The 23,900-nt window shown below is 39.9% G+C and overlaps 1 protein-coding gene across 3 annotated transcripts in view; it reads right to left on the reverse strand.

Moving 5' to 3' along the window:
• The window catches only part of AIM2 (absent in melanoma 2), a 92,082-nt gene that overhangs the window by 46,522 nt on the left and 21,660 nt on the right, over positions 1 to 23,900 (reverse strand). For 2 of the 3 annotated variants that reach the window (XR_007064924.1, XM_047434808.1), the window contains 2 exons: positions 21,948 to 22,009; positions 20,667 to 20,805 (listed from right to left, as the gene is read on the reverse strand). The gene's annotated coding sequence lies outside the window, so the exon portion shown is untranslated. Of the gene's footprint in view, positions 1 to 20,666; positions 20,806 to 21,947; positions 22,010 to 23,900 lie in introns of those variants that run through there. The other variant, XM_047434809.1, reaches the window with a different exon arrangement.

Here is a 23,900-nt window from a genome sequence, read left to right on the forward strand (position 1 = left end):
AAGATGTGGAAAAGTTTGGAACTTGCTAGAGACTTGTTGAATGGTTTTGACCAAAATGCTGATAGTGATATGGACAATGAAGTCCAGGCTGAGGTGGTCTCAGATGGAGATGAGGAACTTCTTGGGAGCTGGAGCAAACGTCACTCTTGCTACACTTCAGCAAAGAAACTGGCAGCATTTTGTCCCTGCCCTAGAGATCTGTGGAACTTTGAACTTAAGAGAGATGATTTAGGGTATCTGGTGGGAGAAATTTCTAAGTGGCAAAGTGTTCAAGAGGAAGCAGAGCATAAAAGTTTGGAAAATTTGCAGCCTGACCATGTAGTAGAAAAGAAAAACCCATTTTCTGGGGAGAAATTCAAGCCAGCTGCAGAAATTTGCGTAAGTAATGAGAAGGCAAATGTTAATCACCAAGTAAATGGGGAAAATGTCTCCAGGGCATGTCAGAGACCTACACAGCAGCCCCTCCCATCACAGCCTCAGTGGCCTAGGAGGGAAAAATCACTTCCTGGGCTGGGACCAGGTGCCCCCTGCTCTATGCAGCCTTCGGAAATGGTGCACTGCATCCCAGCTGCTTCAGCTCCTGCTATGGCTAAAAGGGGCCATTGTACAGCTCAATCCAGTGCTTCAGAGGGTGCAAGCTCCAAGCCTTGGTAGCTTCCACGTGATTTTGGGCCTGCAGGTACGCAGAAGACAAGAATTGAGGTTTGGGAACCTCTGCCTAGATTTCAGAGGATGTATGGAAATGTCTGCGTGTCTAGGCAGAGGTGTGCTGCAGAGGCAAAGCCCTCATGGAGAACCTCTGCTAGGGCAGTGTGGAAGGGAAATATGAGATAGGAGCCCCCACACAGAGTCCCTACTGGGGCACTGGCTAGTGGAGCTGTGAGAAGAGGGCCACCGTCCTCCAGTCCCCAGAAAGTAGATCCACAAACAGCTTGCCCCATGTGCCTGGAAAAGCAGCAGACACTCAACACCAACCCGTGAAAGCACCCGGCGGGGGAGCTGTACCCTGCAAAGCCACAAGGGCAGAGCTGCCCAAAGCCATGGGAGCACACCTCTTGCATCAGTGTGCCCTGGATATGAGACATGGAGTCAAAGGAGATCATTTTGGAGCTTTAAGATTTGACTGCCCTGCTGGATTCTGGCCTTGCATGGGGCCTGTAGCCCCTTCTTTTTGGCCAATTTCTCCCATTTGGAATGAGTGTATTTACTTAATGCCTGTACCCTTATTGAATCTAAGAAGTAACCAACTTGGTTTTTTGGTTTTACAGGCTCACAGGGAGAAGGGACTTGCCTTATCTCAGACGAGACTTTGGACTTGGACTTTTGGGTTAATGCTGAAATGAGTTAAGACTTTGGGGGACTGTTGGAAGGGCATGATTGTATTTTCAAACATGAGGACATGAGATTTGGGAGGGGTCAGGGGTGGGAAGTTATAGTTTGCCTCTGGGTCCCCACCCAAATCTCATCTTAAATTGTAATAATTCCCACATGTCGTGGGAGGCACCCAGTGGGAGGTAATTGGATCATGGGAGTTGTTTCCCCCATGCTGTTGTCATGATAGTGAGTGAGTTCTCATGAGATCTGGTGGTTTTATATTCTTCTGGCATTTTCCCTGCTGGCACTCATTCTGTCTCCTGACACCCTGTGAAGAAACGCCTCCACCATGATTGTAAGTTTTCTGCGGCTTCCCTAGCCATTCAGAACTGTGAGTCAATTAAACCTCTTTCCTTTATAAATTACCCAATCTTGGGTATTTCTTCATAGCAGTGTGAGAACAGGCTAATACATCACAGTTTTCACAATTCCCACTTTTTTTTTTCCTGCATCTACTATGTTGGTATGGGTTCACAATATTCCTCAGCTTAGTGTTCATCTCAGAAAGACAGTCAGTCACAGCAGCAAAACCTGCTCCAGGTCAATCTGGAGAGACAGCCATCTCCTCTTTCCACCTCACCTAGAGAGGAATTAAAACAAGGGGAGGTGGAGGAAGATTTTCATAGTCCTCAACCCATTGCTTTTGGATCTAGGCCTGGCATACATGAGCAAGGTGACTGAAATAATCATTTTCCTTATTTTTAAGGTGGTGCTTACCATTGACTAGAATACAAGAGAGATACACTAACTCCTGAGTCTTCCCTTTTTCCACTGCCTTGCACACCTCTCCTTTCTTCTCACTTTCACTTCCATAGCCTTCCCGAATAACAAATCTGCAGTAGCAAATGAAATTCTAGGGGGAGTTTTCTCCTTTCTCTTTCTGACAAATCACTTTTCTCTCCCAAATTCACCCACGCCAGCCAAAGGAGGATGTAAGGAGATTTAAAAAGTAATTGCAGGAGCTATTTTGGAACCTCATTAAGTAATGGGGTTTGGCATAAATCTGTCTGGCTATTATTTTCCCCCAGGATGGGTCATCCCAAATTTTCTGATCTAGTAAGCAGAAATAACAGGAAAAACCTACACTTTTTTTATTTTATTTTATGAAGTTTCACTTTCCCCAAGTAGGGAGTATGGTCTGTATAAACTGGGGTATTTGAATACTAATGCTGAATATGAGGATGCCAATATTAGGGGCTAAATGTCAGAAGATCTGAAAAGCCCATGAGAAGAAGATGGAAAGAGACTATTCCAAGATAGGGGAAATGGGGGCAGAGCCACGGTGACAAGAGGGCTTCTCCCCTGATATTGAAACAATATGGTATCATGGCTGCAGGCATGGACTCCAAACCCACACTGCCCACAGCAGCAGCCATAAGCCACACATAGCTCTCAAACATCCTAAATGTGCAACTGAGGAACTGAATTTTATATTGTATTTAGTTTTAATTTAAAACTCATATTCAATTCAGTTATTGAAAATAAGTATGATTGAAATAAGTTAAATATATAAACCTTCATTTTCAACTAAATTCTATGAAATCTATATACTAATGAAATATTTCTGATTAAAATTTATCATTCAAATTGAGATGTGCTGTAAGATTAAAATACACATCAGACTTCAAAGACTTAATACAAAAAATGTGAAGTGTCTTATGAGTGATTTTTATAGTGATTACATGTTGAAGTGATAATATTTTGGATATACTGGGTTTAATCAGATATATTAAATTGACTTCGTTCGTCTCTTTTTACTTTTTTGAGGTAGCTACTGGAAAATTTTAAATTACACATGTGCTTGCATTATATTTTTATTGGACAATGCTTTTCTGGAGCATGGACTACATGAGTTCAAATTCCATTTCTACCACTTTCTAGCTAGGAGATGTGCTCAAATGTGTTTTCTGGGCCTTTTACGAAAAATGGGCCAATAATAATACCTACGACATAGAGTTGGTGTGAAATATAAGTGAATTATATGTGTCACAGGATGTTTCAGGGGTTGTTTCACCAGCCGGAAACCCCTGTGTCCAGTGGCACCTTTGCCTGAGTCTTGCTTGGGCCTGCTGGGCTCATTCCACCCACTCAGCCTGGCAGGCTGTGCTTGGCCTACACTACCAGCCCAGATCCCATGCCTGCCAAGGGTGAGCCAGGCACAGAGCAGCAAGGGGTGTGTGAGCGAGCAAGTGTGGGGTCCAGCCACTGCACACAGCCAGGCACTCCAGCTGCTGCGGCAGGGCAGGCAGCTCCAGGCGCCAGCATAGGCACTGGCTCCATGTGAGGCTACGACTGGACCAGACGTACTGCAACTGGCGTCTGGACAGGGGGAATGCAGTAGCATCCAAAAGCTTGCAGATGCCAGAAACCACAGACCTCCAAAGAGGGTGTTACAGCCCTCGCCCGTGGACCCCCTTGGTCTGGGCCGCAGCTCCTCTTTCTCATAGCCTGCAACATAGTGAGTGGGGGGGCATGTTTCTGCCCTGTTTGTGTTACAGCTCTTTCAGTCTCACCATTCAGCGGTCCTGAATTCTTGCCCCATGTCCAGGAAGAATGAACTAAGTGGACAACTGGAGGGTGAGCAAGGTAGAGAGGAGCTTTATTGAGTAACGGAACATCTTTTGGGAGACCCAAAGTGGGTAGCTCCTATACACAGGCAGGTCGTCCCGATGAGTGTCCAGCTCTTAGCAGAGAGGAGACCCAGAGTGAGTAGTTCCTATCTGGAGGCACGTCATCCTGATGAGCTGAGGAGACCCGAATTGGGTAGCTCCTTCCGCAGCTAGTAGTCCCGATGTCTATGTGAGTCTAGCTGAATCTGTGGTTTTTATGGGCTCAGAAGAGAGAAAGTGTGTAGTTATTGGTCCATGGGTAGTCATAGGTGGGCCTGAAAAAAGCACCGTAAGTTCTCACTCCAGGCTGCAGACTCCACCCAACACTGACAGCCTGGCCCCCATGCTTCGGGCCATCCTTGGTTTGAAGATGGGGCTTCACTGAGGACCCACCCCTTTCTGCCCGGGATCCTGTCTTCCTCCTGTCTCCATTAATCATGTTGTCCACAGGCACCCAGGCTGTTCATGGCAAGGTCATGACAGTGCCTGGGCTCAGCTACAACTTTGCTCCACACTGGAGCAGATGCCAGGTGCAGGGAGAGGCCAGGGAGTGAGAGCAGGCACTTCTGAGACTGCAGGGGGAGAGGGGGCTTCCAAACCCCCAAGAGCACAGCAACGCTGGGTCCGGAGCTGCAGCTGGGTGGCTGCAGCCATGCCCAGGGAGTGCCGGTCTCCCACTCCACCAACTCAGAAGCAGGCAGGGCTCCCACCTGTTCCTGGCTCCCACAGGCTCTGTGGAGCACATAGGTCCAGCCACGCCTCCCCTGCTACAGCCAGCATCTTCACAGTGGCTGCTCTAGACAGGCTTCCGCTGCTATCACATGTAAGTGTGTAATTCATGAATAGTTCATGTCAGATGGTGTGTTCAATATATGTTACCTATTATTATGCTTATAGCTGTCAAGGTTGTGGGAACAGCAAGAAACTGGAAAAAGACTGTGAAATGTGAGAAAGAAAAAATTTTTCTCTTTCTTCTGAAAGCCTTGTAGAAAATATCCATTCAGATCTGGGTGGAAAATGACTGAGACCTTGCTCCCAGGGCATACAGCTGCACACTAGGACACCACTGACATCCCCTCATGGGTTGTGGATTAGAACATTCTCTGTCTCCTGAATACTTTCCTACAAAATCCCAAAAGGAACAACTAATGCAAGGTTGCCCTGATATAATTTAGAAAGTGATATTAGTAAAAATGTGGCACTGAACCACAAGTGTGAAGGCTCTCTGCCACAACTAGCCTTATACCTTTCAGAAAGTCCTTAGTTTCTCTGGGCTCTGTTTCCTCATCAACTAAATAGAGATAATAGGAAGTGCTATTATGAGGATTAAATAAAATGGCAGGGTAGAGAGAGGTCTGTAAACTACATAGTACTGTACCAATGTCAATACCTTTTACTTTTAGAACCATTACTGCAGGACTAGCTTTCCTCCTGGACAAAACATATAGATGCTTCTATAGGATTATTTCCAGAGATCATGAAGACCTACCAGTCTTCCAAACTTTCTCTAAACTGGTCTATGGTAAAGTGGTCAAATCCTATGCTGTAGAAAGTTCCAATAGTCCTTTGGGAAACAAAAATGCAAAAGACATCCAATTTAGGGATAAACTAGTAAATCGCCATCATCTATTAACATCTTGTCTCTTTAGAGCTTGCAGTGACCTGATAAGTCTTTGAGGAAATGAGCCACAGTTTAGGTAGGTTTTCATTTATTCTTTTACTCCTTAAATCAACAGATGTACATGTGTGTATGTGTGTGTGTGTGTGTGTGTGTGTGCGCGCACTATAGCATGTTACTGAAATAAGAATTACTAAAGCAGGATACGAAAAATGGATCAGGACTGCAGGGGGGAGTGGATAATGTGATTTCAATTGGGTAGTCAGACTATGCCTCACTGAGAAGGTACCAGTTAAGCAAAGACTTGAAGGAGTTGATTATGCAGCCACCTTGGGAAGAATGTTACAGAAAGAGGAAAAAACTCTTGTGAAAACTCTAGGACAGGAGCACACCCATGACTAAATGAAATTGAAACAAAAAAATATGAAATATAAACGAAACAAAAAGCTGGTTCTTTGAAAAGATAAATAAAATTGATAGACCATTAGCAAGATTAACCAAGGAAAGAAGAAAATCCAAATAAGCTAATAAGAAACGAAATGGGAGATATTACAACAGACACCACAGAAATACAAAAGAACATTCAAGGCTACTATGGACACCTTTACGTGCATAAACTAGAAAACCAAGAAAAGATGGATAAATTCCTGGAAAGATGTAACTCTCCTAGATTAAATCAGGAACAATTAGATACCCTGAACAGACCAATAAGAAGCAGCGAGATTGAAATGGTAATTTAAAAATTACCAACAAAAAAAGTCCAGGACCAGACAGATGCACAGCAGAATTCTACCAGACATTCAAAGAAAATTTGGTACCAATTCTATTGACACTATTCCACATCATAGAGAAAGAGGGAACCCTCCCTAATTAATTCTATGAAGCCAGTATCACCCTAATGCCAAAACCAGGAAAGGACATAACAAGAAAAGAAAACTACAGACCCAATATCCCCAATGAAATAGATCCTAAAATCCTTAACAAAATACTAGCTAACCAAATCCATTAACATATCAAAAAAGTAGTACACCACGTTCAAGTGGGTTTCATACAAGGGATGAAGGGATGGAGGGACGGTTTAACATATGCCAGTCAAGAAATGTGATAAAAAACAAAAAATCACATGATAATCTCAATAGATGCCGAAAAAGCATTCAACAAAATCCAGCATCCCTTTATAATTAAAACTTAGCAAAACTGGCTTACAATGGACATACCTCAATATAACAAAAGCCATCTATGACAAACCCACAGCCAACACAATACTGAATGGGGAAAAGTTGAAAGCATTCCCTCTGAGAACTGGAACAAGAAAAGGATGCCCACTCTCACCACTCCTCTTCAACATAGTACTGGAAGTCCTAGGCAGAGCAATCAGACAAGAGAAAGAAATAAAGGTCATCTAAATCAGAAAAGAAGAAGTCAAACTGTTGCTGTTTGTGGCGATATCATAATTTAACTAGAAAACCCTAAAGACTCCTCCAGAAAGCTCCTAGAACTGATGAAATAATTCAGCAAAGTTTCGGGATACAAAATTAATGTACACAAATCAGTAGCTTTTCTATACATCAACAGCGTCCGAGCTGAGAATCAAATCAAGAATGCAACCCCCTTTACAACAGCTGCAAAATAAAATAAAATGCTTAGGAATATGCCTAACCAAGGAGGTGAAAGACTTCTACAAGGAAAACTACAAAACACTGCTGAAAGAAATCATAGACGACACACACAAATGGAAACACATCCCATGCTCAGGGATGGGTAGAATTAAAATTGTGAAAATGACCATGCTGCCAAAAGCAACCTACAAATTCAATCAATTCCCATTCAAATACCACCACCATTCTTCACAGAATTAGAAAAAACAATTCTAAAATTCATAAGGAACCAAAAAACAGCTCACATAGCCAAAGCAAGACTAAGCAAAAAGAACAAATATGAAGGCATCAATATTACCTGATTTCAAACTATACTATAAGGCCATAGTCACCAAAACAGCATACCAGTACAGCATACTCTACTGGTATAAAAATAGGCACATAGAGCAATGGAACAGAATAGAGAACCCAGAAATAAACCCAAATACTTACAGCCAACTGATCTTCAACAAAGCAAACAAAAACACAAAGTGGGGAAAGGACACCCTATTCAACAAATGGTACTGGGCTAATTGGCTAGCCACATGTAAGAGAATGAAACTGGATCCTCATCTCTCACCTTATACAAAAATCAACTCAAGATGGATTAAGGACTGAAATCTAAGACCTGAAACTATAAAAATTCTAGAAGATAACATTGGAAAAAACCCTTCTAGACATTGCCTTAGGCAAGAATTTCATGATTAAGAACCCAAAAGCAAATGCAATAAAAACAAAGATCAATAGGTGGGATTTAATTAAACTAAAGGGCTTTTGCACAGCAAAAGGAACAGTCAGCAGAGTAAATAGACAACCCACAGAGTGGGAAAACAATCTTTACAATCTATACAACTGACAAAGTGCTAATATCCAGAATCTACAATGAACTCAAACAAATCAACAAGAAAAAAAAATTCCATCAAAAAGTGGGATAAGGATATGAATAGACAATTCTCAAAAGAAAATATACAAATGGCCAACAAACATATGAAAAAATGCTCAGCACCACTAATGATCAGGGAAATGCAAATCAAAACCACAATGTGACATCACCTTACTCCTGAAAGAATGGCCATAATCAAAAAATAAAAAAATAGTAGATGTTGGCATGGAAGTGGTGAACAGGGAACACTTCTACGCTGCTGGTGGGAATGTAAACTAGTACAACCACTATGGAAAACAGCATGGAGATCCCTTAACAGAACTAAAAGTAGAACTATCATTTGATCCAGCAATCCCACTACTGGGTATCTACCCAGAAGAAAAGAAGTCATTACATTAAAAAGATACTTGCACACACATGTTTATAGCAGCACAATTTGCAATTGCAAAAACGTGGAACCAACCCAAATGGCCATCAACCAATGAGGATAAAGAGACTGTAGTATATATACACAATGGAATACTACTCGGCCATAAAAAGGAATGAATTAATGGCATTCACAGCAACCTGGACGAGATTGGAGACTATTATTCTAAGTGAAGACCAAGACCATGGTCCACATAAAACCTCTCTCAGGAGCCATCCTATGGCATCTCATTTTGAGAAAAAAATCTGAGCTATCACCAAACTTTTGGGTGTGCAGGTTATCTGACCATAGTCAGACTGATGTTTTAAAAAATTCTTTTATATTAGAAGCACCGCTAGGTACAAGAGGCCCAAATTCTATGTTCCTTTAGACCCTCTAGCTGTGCCGTTGGTATACCAGGGTCTATGGACCTCAAAGTGCCATTAAAAATATTAAGCAGATTTCAAAGAAAAAAAAACTGACACGGTCAGCCCACCTATTGCCAAAGTGTGAGAAACTGATGGAAATGACTTGATAAGAGCAATCAGTACCTTTAATAAACTGTGCTACCCAAAATCTGTTTGCCTAAAATCATAGTTAGAAAAATATGTGTTCCTTCTCTATTTCCTGCCCCTCTAGATTACATAAATGGTATCTGCACCAAGCAGACAACTGAGATCAAACCCTTCACTGCACACATATTAATTTTTTTAGTGGCTAAAGTGTCATCTGTTCACATTCCTCTCTTTTGTACATAGGTTCAGAAGTTAGAACATCTAGAGCACATCAGAGAAGGGTTTGGGGTAGGGTGAGAGTGTGGGACTCTTGCAACATCACATTCCATTTACCATCTAGGGAATTATACTTACGCTAATGTGCTCTAGGTGAGGGTAAAGGCAGGTAGAGCTCTAATAACAACGCTTATTGGGGATGGCTTTCTTCTAATCTAGTATTTAGCATCTACAATGAACAGTAAGTAGGACAAGAATCTTCTTCATTAGACAAAACCACCCTAGTTAAATACCAGCTCACAAAAACAACCACAGCAAGAACAGGTAGGACTGGGTAAAGAAATCTTCTCTTTGACCTCAAATTAGACTAATGGTTATTCTAACAGCAAAGTGAATAGGAATTAGGCCAAGGACAGTCCACATCTCCTTTGGAAAGTGCTGGGTATGTGTAGCCTTGTTCAAGAAGGCTAAAATAACCTGGCGTAGGGTCTATTAAAATGCATTACAAAGCAAAGCAAAATAGACGTTGTTATTTAAAACTAGTTAGGTGGTGGTTGCACAACATTGTGAATGTACCAAATGCCACAGAATTGCTCACTTTAAAATGGTTACTTTTACATTACGTGGGTTTCACCTCAATTAAAAAGAGAGAAAGAGAACTTGCTCCTAAACAGTTACACAAAAAAACTACATCCGGAAGCAATTTACTTGTATTTTAAGAAAATGACTTGTCCCCACAGAGTTTATGACAGGATTTATGAAACAAAAATCAAAGAAAATATATATAAAGATTGGTCCTAGAAAAGATTTTTAAAAGATGAAAGCAAACATAGAAAAAAGCAGTATAATATAAAATAAATAAGATGGGGCCAAATGCAGTGCCTCACTTTGGGAGGCCGAAGCGGGTGGATTGCTTCAGGCCAGGAGTTCGAGGCCTGGCCAACATGTTGAAACCCGTCTCTACAAAAAAAAAAAAAAAAAAAACTATCTATCTATCTATCATCTATCTATCTATCTATCTATCTATCTATCTATCTATCTATCTATCTATCTATACATATATTAGCCGAGCATGGTGGTGGGCACCTGTAAATCCAGCCACTTGGGAATTTGAGGCTCAAGAAGCACTTGAACCTAGGAGGTGGAGGTTGCAGTGAGCCAAGATTGCCCCACTGCACTCCAGCCTGGGCGACAGAGTGAGACTCTGACTCAAAAAATAAAGAAAAATAAAAAACAAGATGGTAACACCAAATCTAAATATTTCAATTACCCTGATACGTATAAATTAAACTTGCCGGTTAAAACACAATGTCAGACTGGAATAAGACATACTCCAGTTCCTATGCTATTTAAAAAAGACTTTCCTAAAGCATGAAAATGCTGAAGGGTTGAAAAGAAAAGAATGAGAAAAGACACAGCCGCCAAATACTAACCAAAAGACAGCTAGTATAGCTATATTAATAATAATCAAAGAAGACTTCAAGACAAATAGCTTCATTAAAGACAGCATTTCTATGCAATGATTAAACATTAGGCACCAAAGCAATATAACAATTCTAAACTTGCATGCACCTCATTAAATAGACTTAACAGATATAAACAAAAATTGAGAGACCTCAAGGAATAAATTGACAAATCCACCATGAGAGTGGGAGACTACAACACTCTTATTTCAATAAGTTATAATTCAAGTAGCCAAAAAGGCAAAAATATGGAAGTCGAAGAATACAATTAACAACTTTGATCTGACGGAATACTTAGAAATATTTATTATATACTCAACAGGTCTATAAAAGATGTCACAACAAATTTCAAAAGAATAGTTTTATGAATCTAATTTGTTCCCTAAACCGTAGGAATTTAACCATGGCTATGGGAAAAGTGGGGTCCAATCTTAAATGAAATGAAATAAATTTTCTGACACCTAATGGACTAAAGGAAATAGAAGTTAAAATATGTGACAGAAAAATGTTTAAAGCCACATTTCTTGAATATGGAGTTTATGGAATGAGAGTTTTTCTACTAGACTTTTTTTTAACTGCAAGAATACTGTTTTCAGAATACAGTTTTATACTCTGATGTTTCAAACCTAATATATACATACATATATATATATATATAATTTTTTTTTTGGGACGGAGTCTCACTCTGTCGCCCAGGCTGGAGTGCAGTGGCGCGATCTCGGCTCACTGCAAGCTCCGCTTCCGGGGTTCACGCCATTCTCCTGCCTCAGCCTCCGGAGTAGCTGGGACTACAGGCATCCGCCACCACGCCCAGCTAATTTTTTGTATTTTTAGTAAAGACGGGGTTTCACCATGTTAGCCAGGATGGTCTCGATCTCTTTACCTCATGATCCACCTGCCTCGGTCTCCCAAAGTGCTGGGATTACAGATGTGAGCCACTGCACCCGGCCCAAATCTAATATTACATGATAGGCATTTTGTCATATCATTGTTATCTTTTATTTAGGAACTCTTCCCCAGGCCCTACATTTCTCTCTCCTTCAGCCAGAAATCAAAAGACCTCTTCTGAATATAAATTTGTCAATTAAGATACCTGGAGACCAACACACCTAGAAAGTTATAATTCCTTTTAGACTTCATCTTGGTCAACCCGTTCAACAATATATTCTAATTCCTGATGCAGCCAAATGTACTTTCTTTTGTTTAGGTCTCAGTTGTAGTGAAATAAAAGACGACTTCTATACTTTCAGTTAACTGAGGGTTTAAAATCGGACTACCTACAGCTTTTTCTTTTCTGGAATATAGTCAATACCAGCCCTTCTTTCCATCACAGAAACCCATAATTACTATTTCCTCCTAATTTTCTGATTAGAAACTTGTTCTTTGGGCTTTTTCTAGAAAACTTCCCACAGGCCTTACCTCACTGGAATCTCCTTCCACAGCAGCCTAGTCCTTAAGTCAGAGCTTCAGGGATGACCATGTATTTTGATAGGGTAAGAACATATATCAGATAGAGTTCTTTATTGAATAGTGGTGAGGCATGATAAGAAGTTTTGAAAGTTAGCCAGGAAGAAGTGCTACTGGCTATTTTCACTTAGAAACTTGACTAGCTCTTACTGTTTAACTGTGTGCTAATCCCTGGGAAAGAGAAGGCACAAGTGTTACAGGATTTTAAGGCTCCTCCCATTAAAATCCTTAGCTTTCTGTTTCCTTTTTCTGACAAGCCTGAACAGTTTTTCTCGTATTAGCTTGAGAGTTCAGCCAAAGATTATTTTAGGTGTAGAGAAATGAAAGCAAAGAGCTCTTCCTTTGTTTCCCAGATTTCAAGGGAGTTCACAACTTAGAGTAGTGGACAAGAGACTGGGTAACAGAAAGAACTCAAGTCAAAGCAAAGGAAACACCCCAAACAGTATAAGGGACTATGCTGAGGAGTCATGAGGGACAAGCCAACAGAATGCAAATAAGGGGAAAACACATGAGTACAAAGGGTTTCAAATGGAAGAGGAAAACTGAGCCTGGGAGAAGGCAGCAGTTTGAGCTAATTAGAACAACTGTGGCCTTGAGTTTAGTGGGAAAGGGTCCAATAAAGTGACCAGTCCTGCTTGGAAAACACTAGTGTACTTCCAGTCTTCTAAAGTCACTTGGGGACGGGCATGGTGGCTCATGCTTGTAATCCCAACACTTTGGGAGGCCAAGGAGAATCACTTGAGGCCAGGAGTTTGAGACCAGCCTGGCCACCATGGCAAAACCCTGCCTCTACAAAAAAATTAGACAGGCATGATGGCGCATGCTTGTAATGTCAGCTACTCAGAAGGCTGAGGCACAAGAATCACTTGAACCCGGGAGGTGGATATTTCACTGAGCCAAGATCGTGCTACTGCACTACAGCCTGGGTGACACAGGGAGACCCTGTCAAACCCACAGCCAATATCATACTGAATGGGCAAAAACTGGAAGCATTCCCTTTGAAAACTGGCACAAGACAGGGATGCCCTCTCTCACCACTCCTATTCAACATAGTGTTGGAAGTTCTGGCCAGGGCAATCAGGCAGGAGAAGGAAATAAAGGGTATTCAGTTAGGAAAAGAGGACGTCAAATTGTCCCTGTTTGCAGATGACATGATTGTATATCTAGAAAACCCCATCGTCTCAGCCCAAAATCTCCTTAAGCTGATAGGCAACTTCAGCAAAGTCTCAGGATACAAAATCAATGTACAAAAATCACAAGCATTCTTATACACCAATAACAGACAAACAGAGAGCCAAACCATGAGTGAACTCCCATTCACAATTGCTTCAAAGAGAATAAAATACCTAGGAATCCAACTTACAAGGGATGTGAAGGACCTCTTCAAGGAGAACTACAAACCACTGCTCAACGAAATAAAAGAGGATACAAACAAATGGAAGAACATTCCATGCTCATGGGTAGGAAGAATCAATATCGTGAAAATGGCCATACTGCCCAAGGTAATTTATAGATTCAATGCCATCCCCATCAAGCTATCAGTGACTTTCTTCACAGAATTGGAAAAAACTACTTTAAAGTTCATATGGAACCAAAAAGGAGCCCGCATCACCAAGTCAATCCTAAGCCAAAAGAACAAAGCTGGAGGCATCACGCTACCTGACTTCAAACTATACTACAAGGCTATGGTAACCAAAACAGCATGGTACTGGTACAAAAACAGAGATATAGACCAATGGAACAGAACACAGCCCTCAGGAATAATGCCGCATATCCACAACCATCTGATCTTTGACAAACCTGACAAAAACAAAAAACGGGGAAACGATTCCCTATTTAATAAATGGTGCTGGGAAAACTGGCTAGCCATATGTAGAAAGCTGAAACTGGATCCCTTCCTTATACCTTACACAATTTAATTCAAGATGGATTAAAGACTTAAATGTTAGACCTAAAACCATAAAAACCCTAGAAGAAAACCTAGGCAATACCATTCAGGACACAGGCATGGGCAAGGATTTCATGTCTAAAACACCAAAAGCAATGGCAACAAAAGCCAAAATTGACAAATGGGATCTAATTAAACTAAAGAGCTTCTGCACAGCAAAAGAAACTACCATCAGAGTGAACAGGCAACCTACAGAATGGGAGAAAATTTTTGCAATCTACTCATCTGACAAAGGGCTAATATCCAGAATCTACAATGAACTCCAACAAATTTACAAGAAAAAAACAAACAACCCCATCAATAAGTGGACAAAGGATATGAACAGACACTTCTCAAAAGAAGACATTTATGCAGCCAAAAGACACATGAAAAAATGCTCATCATCACTGGCCATCAGAGAAATGCAAATCAAAACCACAATGAGATACCATCTCACACCTGTTAGAATGGCAATCACTAAAAATTCAGGAAACAACAAGTGCTGGACAGGATGTGGAGAAATAGGAACACTTTTACACTGTTGGTGGGACTGTAAACTAGTTCAACCATTGTGGAAGTCAGTGTGGCGATTCCTCAGGGATCTAGAACTAGAAATACCATTTGACCCAGCAATCCCATTACTGGGTATATGCCCAAAGGATTATAAATCATGCTGCTATAAAGACACATGCACACATATGTTTATTGTGGCACTATTCACAATAGCAAAGACTTGGAACCAACCCAAATGTCCAACAATGATAGACTGGATTAAGAAAATGTGGCACATATACATCATGGAATACTATGCAGCCATAAAAAATGATGAGTTCATGTCCTTTGTAGGGACATGGATAAAGCTGGAAACCATCATTCTTAGCAAACTATCACAAGGACAAAAAACCAAACACCGCATGTTCTCACTCATAGGTGGGAACTGAACAATGAGAACACGTGGACACAGGAAGGGGAACATCACACAACAGGGCCTGTTGTGGGGTAGGGGGAGGGAGGAGGAATAGCATTTGGAGATATACCTAATGTTAAATGACGAGTTACTGGGTGCAGCACACCAACATGGCACATGTATACATATGTAACTAACCTGCACATTGTGCACATGTACCCTAAAACTTAAAGTATAATTAAAAAAAAAAAAAGTAAAGTCACTCGGCATTAGAAATTCTTCTGAAACTGTATTAAGGTCCCCTGAATGCTACAGGGAGAAAATTCAAGAAGGAAAAGGTACTGAATTTTTTTAAGCTGCATAAAGAGAAAGATATGTGAGTACAGAAAAAAAAATTGGATTTGACTATCAAGTTATTTTTTGTGTTATTTTAGTGAGAGTTGTTTCAGAAATGAATGAGAAAAATGAGTAAGTGGCCAGAAAATGGCAATAGCTTGTATGGACTGTAGTTAGCAGAAATATAGCTGTCAAGGGAAGAACAGAGATAGGGCAAAACATCTTGGAAGGCTGTGTAGTAGCAGAAAAAAGTTATTTTAAAAACGGAGGAGACAGGTGCATTTGTGTGCGCACGAGAGAGAAAGACACAGAGAGAGGCTGAAGGCCAAGAATCGACAAAAAGTTCACAAAGAATGTAGCTTAAAAAAGATCAGATTAGGATTCTAGAGGCATCAGAAAAACATGTGCTCTGGAGAAAAGGTATAGTTAACCTTAAGGAAGAAAAACACCTCCTGAGACAGGGCAGAAGAGGTGGGAAGATAGGAAAAATAATAATATATCAAGTATAACAAATAAATTTTGTATCCAAGATTTTTTTATAAAACAGAGAAGCACCAGGCTATCCAGTAATATATGGTTTCTCCAGGAGGCTCTGAGTCAAGTAAAGTGTAATTATTGACTCTTTCTCCTAAATTAGTGGATTATTCTTTGGACAAGGAAAAAATATGGAAGACATAGAAGTTCAAGAGCAATCATTCAGGCTCAGAGCTTTTAAAATAAAATGGTTAAAAATATAAAAGAAAAGGAAAACAGCTGAGGCCATGTTGACCTTACGAGACTTCTAGATCAGGATGACATTTTAGACACAGCTTTGAATTTCACTGACACACACACACACACAAAGACACACACACACACCTTTCCCCGTGCAGTGTCTTGCTTCATTTTGTTTCCTGCTTTATTACAAACAAATTCAAATTTAAATTTGACAGAATAAGATATGTACCCATCACTTAGGTGCAATAAATGTTAACATTTTGCCTTAACTGCAAAATTGTATGTATGTTTGTGTCCCTGTATAAATTTATTGATGAAGCATTTGAAACCGGGTTAGATATCATGATATTTAACCACTAACTACATCAGCATACATCTCCTAAACTAAGAAAAATCTCTTATACAGCCTCAATGCCTTTATTATACCCAGAAACATCAAAAATATCTTGATATCCCCCAACATCCAGGCCATACTCAAATTTCCCAAACTGAACAACAAATACATTAGTAGTTAGCTTTTTCAAACTAGAATCCAATCAAGGCTTACACACTGCATGTAGTTGTTCTATATCTTTTGCTAATTTTAAACCAGAATAAAACGAAGCACAGACTGTGGTTTTGTATCCCCTTGACATGGGCATGTTAAAGAGTCTCAAACAACAGCTTTATAAAATTGTCACTTTCCTGATTTGCTGTACAGCATTGTTTAACACATACCTGTGTCTCCTGTACTCCTTATGTATTGGGAATCTGAACAAAAGTCTTGATTACACACAGATAAAACATTTGAGGTAAGGGTAATTCAAAGGCAGTGATGTTACTTCATAATGCATTACCTCAGGAGGCACACAATGTCAAGCTGTCCACTGTCAGTGAGGTGTAGTTTCATGATGACAGTTTTATTTTAAAGGGTACTTCACCCATTATAAAGAGCAAATATCTGTAGGGTGGTACTTAGGACTCATTCTAATAGAATATTAGCAAATATTCTATTTCCTAAAATGTTTTTACCTAATGGTTCCAAAATTCATTGATAATTCTTTCCTGAACCAATTATTTCAGGATATCAAAATGGTGACTTCTACTGGTATTATTCCTTCTACACTTATTTGCTGGGAATCTTCTGCAATACTCACAGAGCTCGTCCTTTAAAACACAATACAGTTGTCATTTGGGCTATTCACCAATAGTCTGGTGTTTGTGTTTTTTTTTCCTTCTGCATACATAACGGGTGTATTAATCAGTTTTTGCATCGGTAACAAACAATCCGGAATCTTAGTTGCATATAATGACACAGATTTCTTGCTCACAGGTCTGTGATTTGGCTGAGGCCCAGCTGTGGCTCTGGTGTGCTTTGTTCCAGTCCCTAGTTTGGCATTACATATCTCTCACACCAGAACTCCGAATAAAGAAGCAATGGCTCCTTGGGATCCGCTCCTCTTTTACTGGATGGTATGAGTGCCAAAGAGTGAAAGCATGAGACACCTCCCTAAGTGAGTATGACATGAATCGGAACGCTTGTAACCCCAGGAGAGACACGCAGTGAAAGTGAAAAATACACTTTTTAGCTTTGAGCCACCGAGATTTTGAGGTTGTTTGTTACTGCAGCATAACCTCTCTATCCTGACAAATACAAACAGGGTGCAGCTTAATTATTTCCTTTTAATTACTAATTTTCAGAGTAAGGAGTTGGTGTACTAATAACCTCTACTGTGGCAAATAATCTTATATTTTATCTTTCCCTTTTTCCTTTTTTTGAATGTCATTTTGGACTTGGACATTTTTGTTAATATGATCAATCACAAACATTATTTTTTTGATGCTCATATTGTCCCAAACTCAGTCAGTGACAGCCCCTTCAAGCTGTACCCTTTTGTCAAGACCCCAATTGTTCTCTAGAAACTCCTGATACAATAGGAGATCTTAAAATCACTGTAAATATTCCCTGTCTGAAACCTAGAATCAGCCAGTTCCATAAGGAGCCCTAGTTCTTTTTAGAGAGAGTGGTATTTTAGAAAACAATAACCGAATGTCAGGTGTGCTCAATACTACTGGTTCATAATGGTTTCTAAGTTCTTTCATTGGACAGAGTGGATAAAGCATGTATTTTCGTTCTCACCCCCACCCTATGTGTGTGTGTGCATGTGTTTGTGTGTGTGTGTGTGGGTGTGTGTGCCACTCTCTGTCTCTGTTTCCCTATCCCTCTCTCTTTTTCTCCACATATGCACACTCACACATACAGAGAGACTTATAGATTATATGTAGATAAATTAGAGATACATTATATAGATGAATTATATTGCATATAATACATGATATACATTATATAGATCATGTGTAGCATTATGTTATATATAATCTTATGTTCATACTAACATTTACAACTTAGATTTGATTTTATAGAGTTATCTCCCCTCCTAATTTCTTTGTTTCTATATTTATTTCTCTTTTCTCATACATTGAAAACACTGGATCCTGATGTTATTAACCTATTTATTTATTTGCTTTATTCTAGAATATACGTAAAATAATTTCAAAATTATAATATCAAGAATAAAACTACTGGGTTAAGTTTACGATTTCCTTGAGTACTTTTCATCCTGAAAAATTGTGCCACCAAAAGACGTATAGTAAAAGGTCCTGTGTGCAAAAGACACTTAATATAATTCCTTTAATTGTACAGTCATGTTATCTATTAGATATGCAATTCAGTCAATTTTTTAGCCTTTAATTAGGAAGACAAGACGTGCAATTTTTCTTACACAAGCATCCTAGGACAGCTTGTTCTCTTGCCCTTCTGTGACTGCCTGTGTCATTATCACAGCTATTGTTGTCTTTTGCTCCTAAACTGTCGTCTCGTGCCACAGAGCTGGCTGTCAAAAACGTTAAGGATTAAGTATTCTTATTCCAGTTGATGAAAATCCTTCATCATTATAACCCTTGAACCAGATCTAGAAGATTGGATTAGCATGTGTAAAACTGCCATTGAGGGGAAAGCACTCAATTGCAAGGAAAATAAGAATCAATGGAGAAATGGAGAAGGAGAAGGAATTACAGCTCCACAGAAAAGGCTAGAGCCCAGCGTGACTGTTGGAAGGAAAGGCTGGTTATGGACATCCAGTGTTGTAAATACATTCTAGAGAAGGCTGAAGGAGTCAGAAGGCATGATCAACTGTGTTCCAGTCAAACAGAAGCTCAAACAGAAGGAAATGCATTTACCCCACAACAGAAAAACAACACGGGCAACAACTGATTCTTATTTAGCAGTTACTAGTCCAATAATTTGCTTCTATTAGGTCATTTAATTCCTTTGATGAATGTATGTGGTAAGTCCTATGATTGTTTCTATTTTACCAATGAAGAAACTGAGGTAGAGAGAAATATTGTAACTTAACCAACCTCCTAAAGACTGTAAGTGGCAGAGCCAAGATTCAAACCCAGAGATTCTCAGCCAGAATCCAGCACATCATAGCAAGCTCTTTCCCCAAGAGCAAGATATTCAGCTGTGGAAAGCTAAAGAATTATTCAAGACAAATGAGTTCTCTATTGCCTGTATAAACTAGTGATGGGAAGCATTGAGGGAGCCCTCAAAAACCATGTTTTCAATTCCAGTTAAGCCACTTAATCCCTAAGTAACTGTAGAGTAATTCTTATTTAGAAGCCATCATCTTACTCAATACTACTGCTCAAATAACACACTGTGACAATTGTTTTAGGTACAAACACTACTTGATCATATTGTGAGTGTACCTGTGAACACAATTTATATAAATGTATAAATGGGAAAATTATAAGATCTCAGAGACCAGTTTGACGTGCTTTTGTAAGCATGTTTTTTTTTCCTAAATTTTTGGTTCTTTGTTTACTTATTTTGTGTGTGTAATTTGATCTACTTCAACACCTGCGCTCTCAGTTTTCTCTCCTATCCAAGTATCTATACCTAGGCTCCCAGCACATAGCTTGGTTTTAGGTAGAAACCACTCTCTGAGTGTCCTGTGCCAATGTTATAGACCAGGTAATGACTGCAGGGTGCTCCACTGACAAAGCTGACATTTCAAGGGCACTCTGCCAATTGGAAAGTCAGAACTAAACAAGAAACTGATCCTATGTATGCAAAGTGTGAGAAAGTATCCTTTCTCTTGGCTCTCAATTTAAAATCATGTCACTGAAACTTAAAAGCCTTTACTGTTTATACCTTTTCCACTTCCAGCACAGGAGTTTAAGCCCACAAACATCTGTCCTTGATTTCTACTCAGCTTCTTGGTTATTCCCATGCAGTCAAATCAAACAGAAAAATAAAATAAATTAATAAAATAATCATTACTCCTCTGTTCTCTTGCTCTTTGTTGATTTCATTATTCATTTGAAGATATGATTGCAAAGAAAGCAGAAAGAATCTGGGGAGAGAAGTTAAAGAGTAAAGGGTACAGATCAAGCAAAAAGGCCAGCAGATCTCAATTTGCAGAACACAGAGTCATCTCAGGAGAAAGTTTAGTAATATCAGTAGTTGCATTAATCTCAGTGACACTAGTTGCTATATCAACCAAAAATCCCAATGGTTTAACACTAAAAAGAAGAATGTTTTGCTCACATTCCAGTCGGATGTAAGTGCTCCTGGTTTGGTGGCTCTCTTCCAAGCAGTGACTCAGACACAGTTTCCATCATTTCTCTGGCCATCTATCTTCAAGATTTGTTTGCCAATATTGCCACTGGCATCAATATCCAGTAAGCTGACAAGAAAAAGCAGAGAAAGAGCATCTGCTTTTTAACCACCCTGGCCTATAAAAGATGTGTCACAGCCATGCCCATGCCATTGGCTTCCATTCCCAACTGGAAGCAAGGGAGTCTGAAAGCAGTGGCCCCTGGATGGGAAGCATGACTTGCTGGTGTAAAGTTAGCTGTCCAGACCACGATTGCTCTAGGAGGATTACTTGGGACACAGTCCTGGGATCCACTTGTTCAGAAAAACAATGGCACTGAGAAGGAACGCAAAGGAACAAAGATCAAAGGCTGCCATCTCTCAAAGACCTTGGTTCTCGGCAGAACAAACCAGCCTGAGTCAAAATTGTGAAGTCACCTGCAGAAGGCCTTTCCTCTCTTCTTTATGCCTTGCTCCTCTAATGTGTTCTCTTGATAGGCATTTACTATTTTCACGGTGACCCCAAGTTCTTTGGGCCACCCTATTTAGTGGCAATTCTGACCCATTCGCTTCATACATTGCTAGGTGACTAGTTAGTCAAGAGCTTAGATGTCTACAGTTGTGTTGAGCCCTGTTTTTGATAACATTTGCATCTTAATGTTCCTAAATCAATTAACCTGAGGCTATAAAAACTTTGGTCTCCATGAAAACGATTTAGTCATTTCATCATAGTCTAATTTAGGAGAAATCTGACAGGCAGAGAATCCTTTGGAAACCCCTCAAGTCACTGTACACAAGTGGCTTCCTATTATGCAGGAGTAAAGTCAACCCACAAATGAAATAGTAAGACTAATAAAATCTCTGTCATTATCATAGTTATTTATAGCTTACAAGCCCTTTAATATTTACATACAAATAAAAACACCATTATAAAAAAAATACTCTCTGCATTTCCCTGATGAGAAAACTGAGACTTGGATAATCTAAATTGCTTTCCTAAAGTCACAAGACTTGCAAGGAGTAGGCTAAAGGCTGAAGCCAAGAGACCTTAACTCATAATTCAGTGCTTCATCATAATTCTGAGGGAAGTTGGCCCTTTCTTGTGATATCCAATATTTCTAAGGTATTTAGCAGTCTCTGTCTTTCAAATTACTTCAAGCTAAAAGTATCCTGTTGTTCTGTTTTCCAACTTCGTCGTATATTTGAGATTCATTTCCTTGTTTTCTCTATTACCTCAGTCTGTGTTCAGATGTTCTTCTTTCTTCATCTGTAAATGTTTCCTGATAGTTAAGTATCTGGGAAAAAAGATTCGTAGTTTGGCAAAAGTTAGATGGCTGGTATTAGTGAATTTGCTTCACAATCCATAGAAAGCTGCCCAGATTTATTGCTGTGCATCCTTCCCACCCATCCACCAATCCTCGCCAACCTACAACAAGCGGGTGTTTCACACTTTCCATTCTTTTTAAATCACAACAGCTAACTGAACAAGTGCTAAACCACAGTGTCGGAAGGTAGCAGGAAAGCCAGTAAAGACCTACGACCTGCCACATATAGTCAAAAGAAGACTGTAGTTATAAACAAGATAACAGTAGATTTTTTTCTCAAATACCCATACAAATTCACTCTATTACACAGCAGGGCTGGGGTATATTTGCCACTAACTATGCTAAGGAGAAAATCTGCCTCATTTACTCCACTTTCCCAGATTCTTTATTTTGCTCAAGACACTGTTCCATTCTCATTCCGTATCTGTCTCTTTCTCACACCCCTAACTCCTTTCAATTACTCCCTCATAATCTCTGTCCTCCCTTTCATTTTTGTCTTCTAGAAATTCTTACCTAATTATTAATGCTTGTTCCTAATATTTCTGCTCATTGCTTACTCTCAAAATGTACCATATTACATCTCTTTTTTTAAAAAAAATGATATTTTATGGTAGTAAAACTGAGAATGAGCTTCTAGAGTTTGCCTTGGCAAACTACAAGCAAAATTCAGCCTGCAATGCAGTTCGATATGGACTCCAAGATGAAAATGTTTTTTACATTCTCAAAGAATGGTAAATAAAAACAAATAGTAATATTCGACAGAGACAGAAGGACCCAGAAAACCTAAAATATTGTTCTCTGGCCCTTTCTGGAAAAAGCGTCCTAGCCCCCGTTCTAGACTATGTAAAACCTCTGTTCTCTCGTCTATTGCTGTACTCTGTAATCTTTACTATTCTTTGGAATCCTCTCCCCGGTTTATTTACTAAAGTAGAGGCTACAGTGTTATAGGGCAACCAGATGCAAACAGGAACTGAAACGTAAGGCTCCTAATATCTTTCTTCATGTGGCATGACGATTATTAGAAGAGTTAAAAATCTCCTTTTATTTCAGTTTTCTGTTTTGAGAGTAACGTATTTTTGTTTACAGAGAACAACCCCTCAGATCACAGCCTTGACCTTCCCAGTGTTTCAGAGGTCCATTGAAGAACCACCAGCGCACCTCTCTCCCCAGCTCAGTAGAGCAGGAGGAAAACAGGTGAGATGGTGATGACGTTGGAGGCAGCAAGAAGGTTGTGCAGGAGAAAAGTCTGAATAATTTACCTTCCAGGTGCATCTTAGGTGGTGGCAAGGGATCTTTCCAAACCACATCAAGCTAGAAACTGATTTTATTATTTTTCCCACCTTCGAGTGATGCCTCCTCTCTGCTTTTGACTCCCCTGTTAGCAGGCTGAGGTGCAACTGGAGAGGTAAAGTGTCTGGGAGACAGCGATAGCAGTGTCCCCAGGGAACAGGCTATTGGCATGCTGGTTGTGCTGCCAAGCCTGACTGCTTCTCTGAGACAAGTATCAGAGCCAGAGTATGTTGTGAGTTGGTAACAGCATATCCCGGGAAAGCCTCCACTAAAAATCGTGACCATTATGAGAGGAAATATGCTCCCAGTCAGCAAAACGGTATAAAAGCAAAATAATAGATAAGCAACAATACACTGGAACATGCTTTATAGAAAAGACCTACCTAACCGTAGGCACATATTAGCTGTAGAACAAGCTAAATTCACATGCTTAGCCAGAGGCTGTGAGCTTAGATTTAGGAGACAAACATAACAACATTTCTCCTACTAGAATGTAAGTCCATATAGTGATTTTCATTTTTAAATAAACATTTATTGAGCCTACGTGAACTGTTATATTTTAATCTAAAGC

Source organism: Homo sapiens, chromosome 1, assembly GCF_000001405.40.
Source record: "Homo sapiens chromosome 1, GRCh38.p14 Primary Assembly".
NCBI lineage: Eukaryota > Metazoa > Chordata > Mammalia > Primates > Hominidae > Homo > Homo sapiens.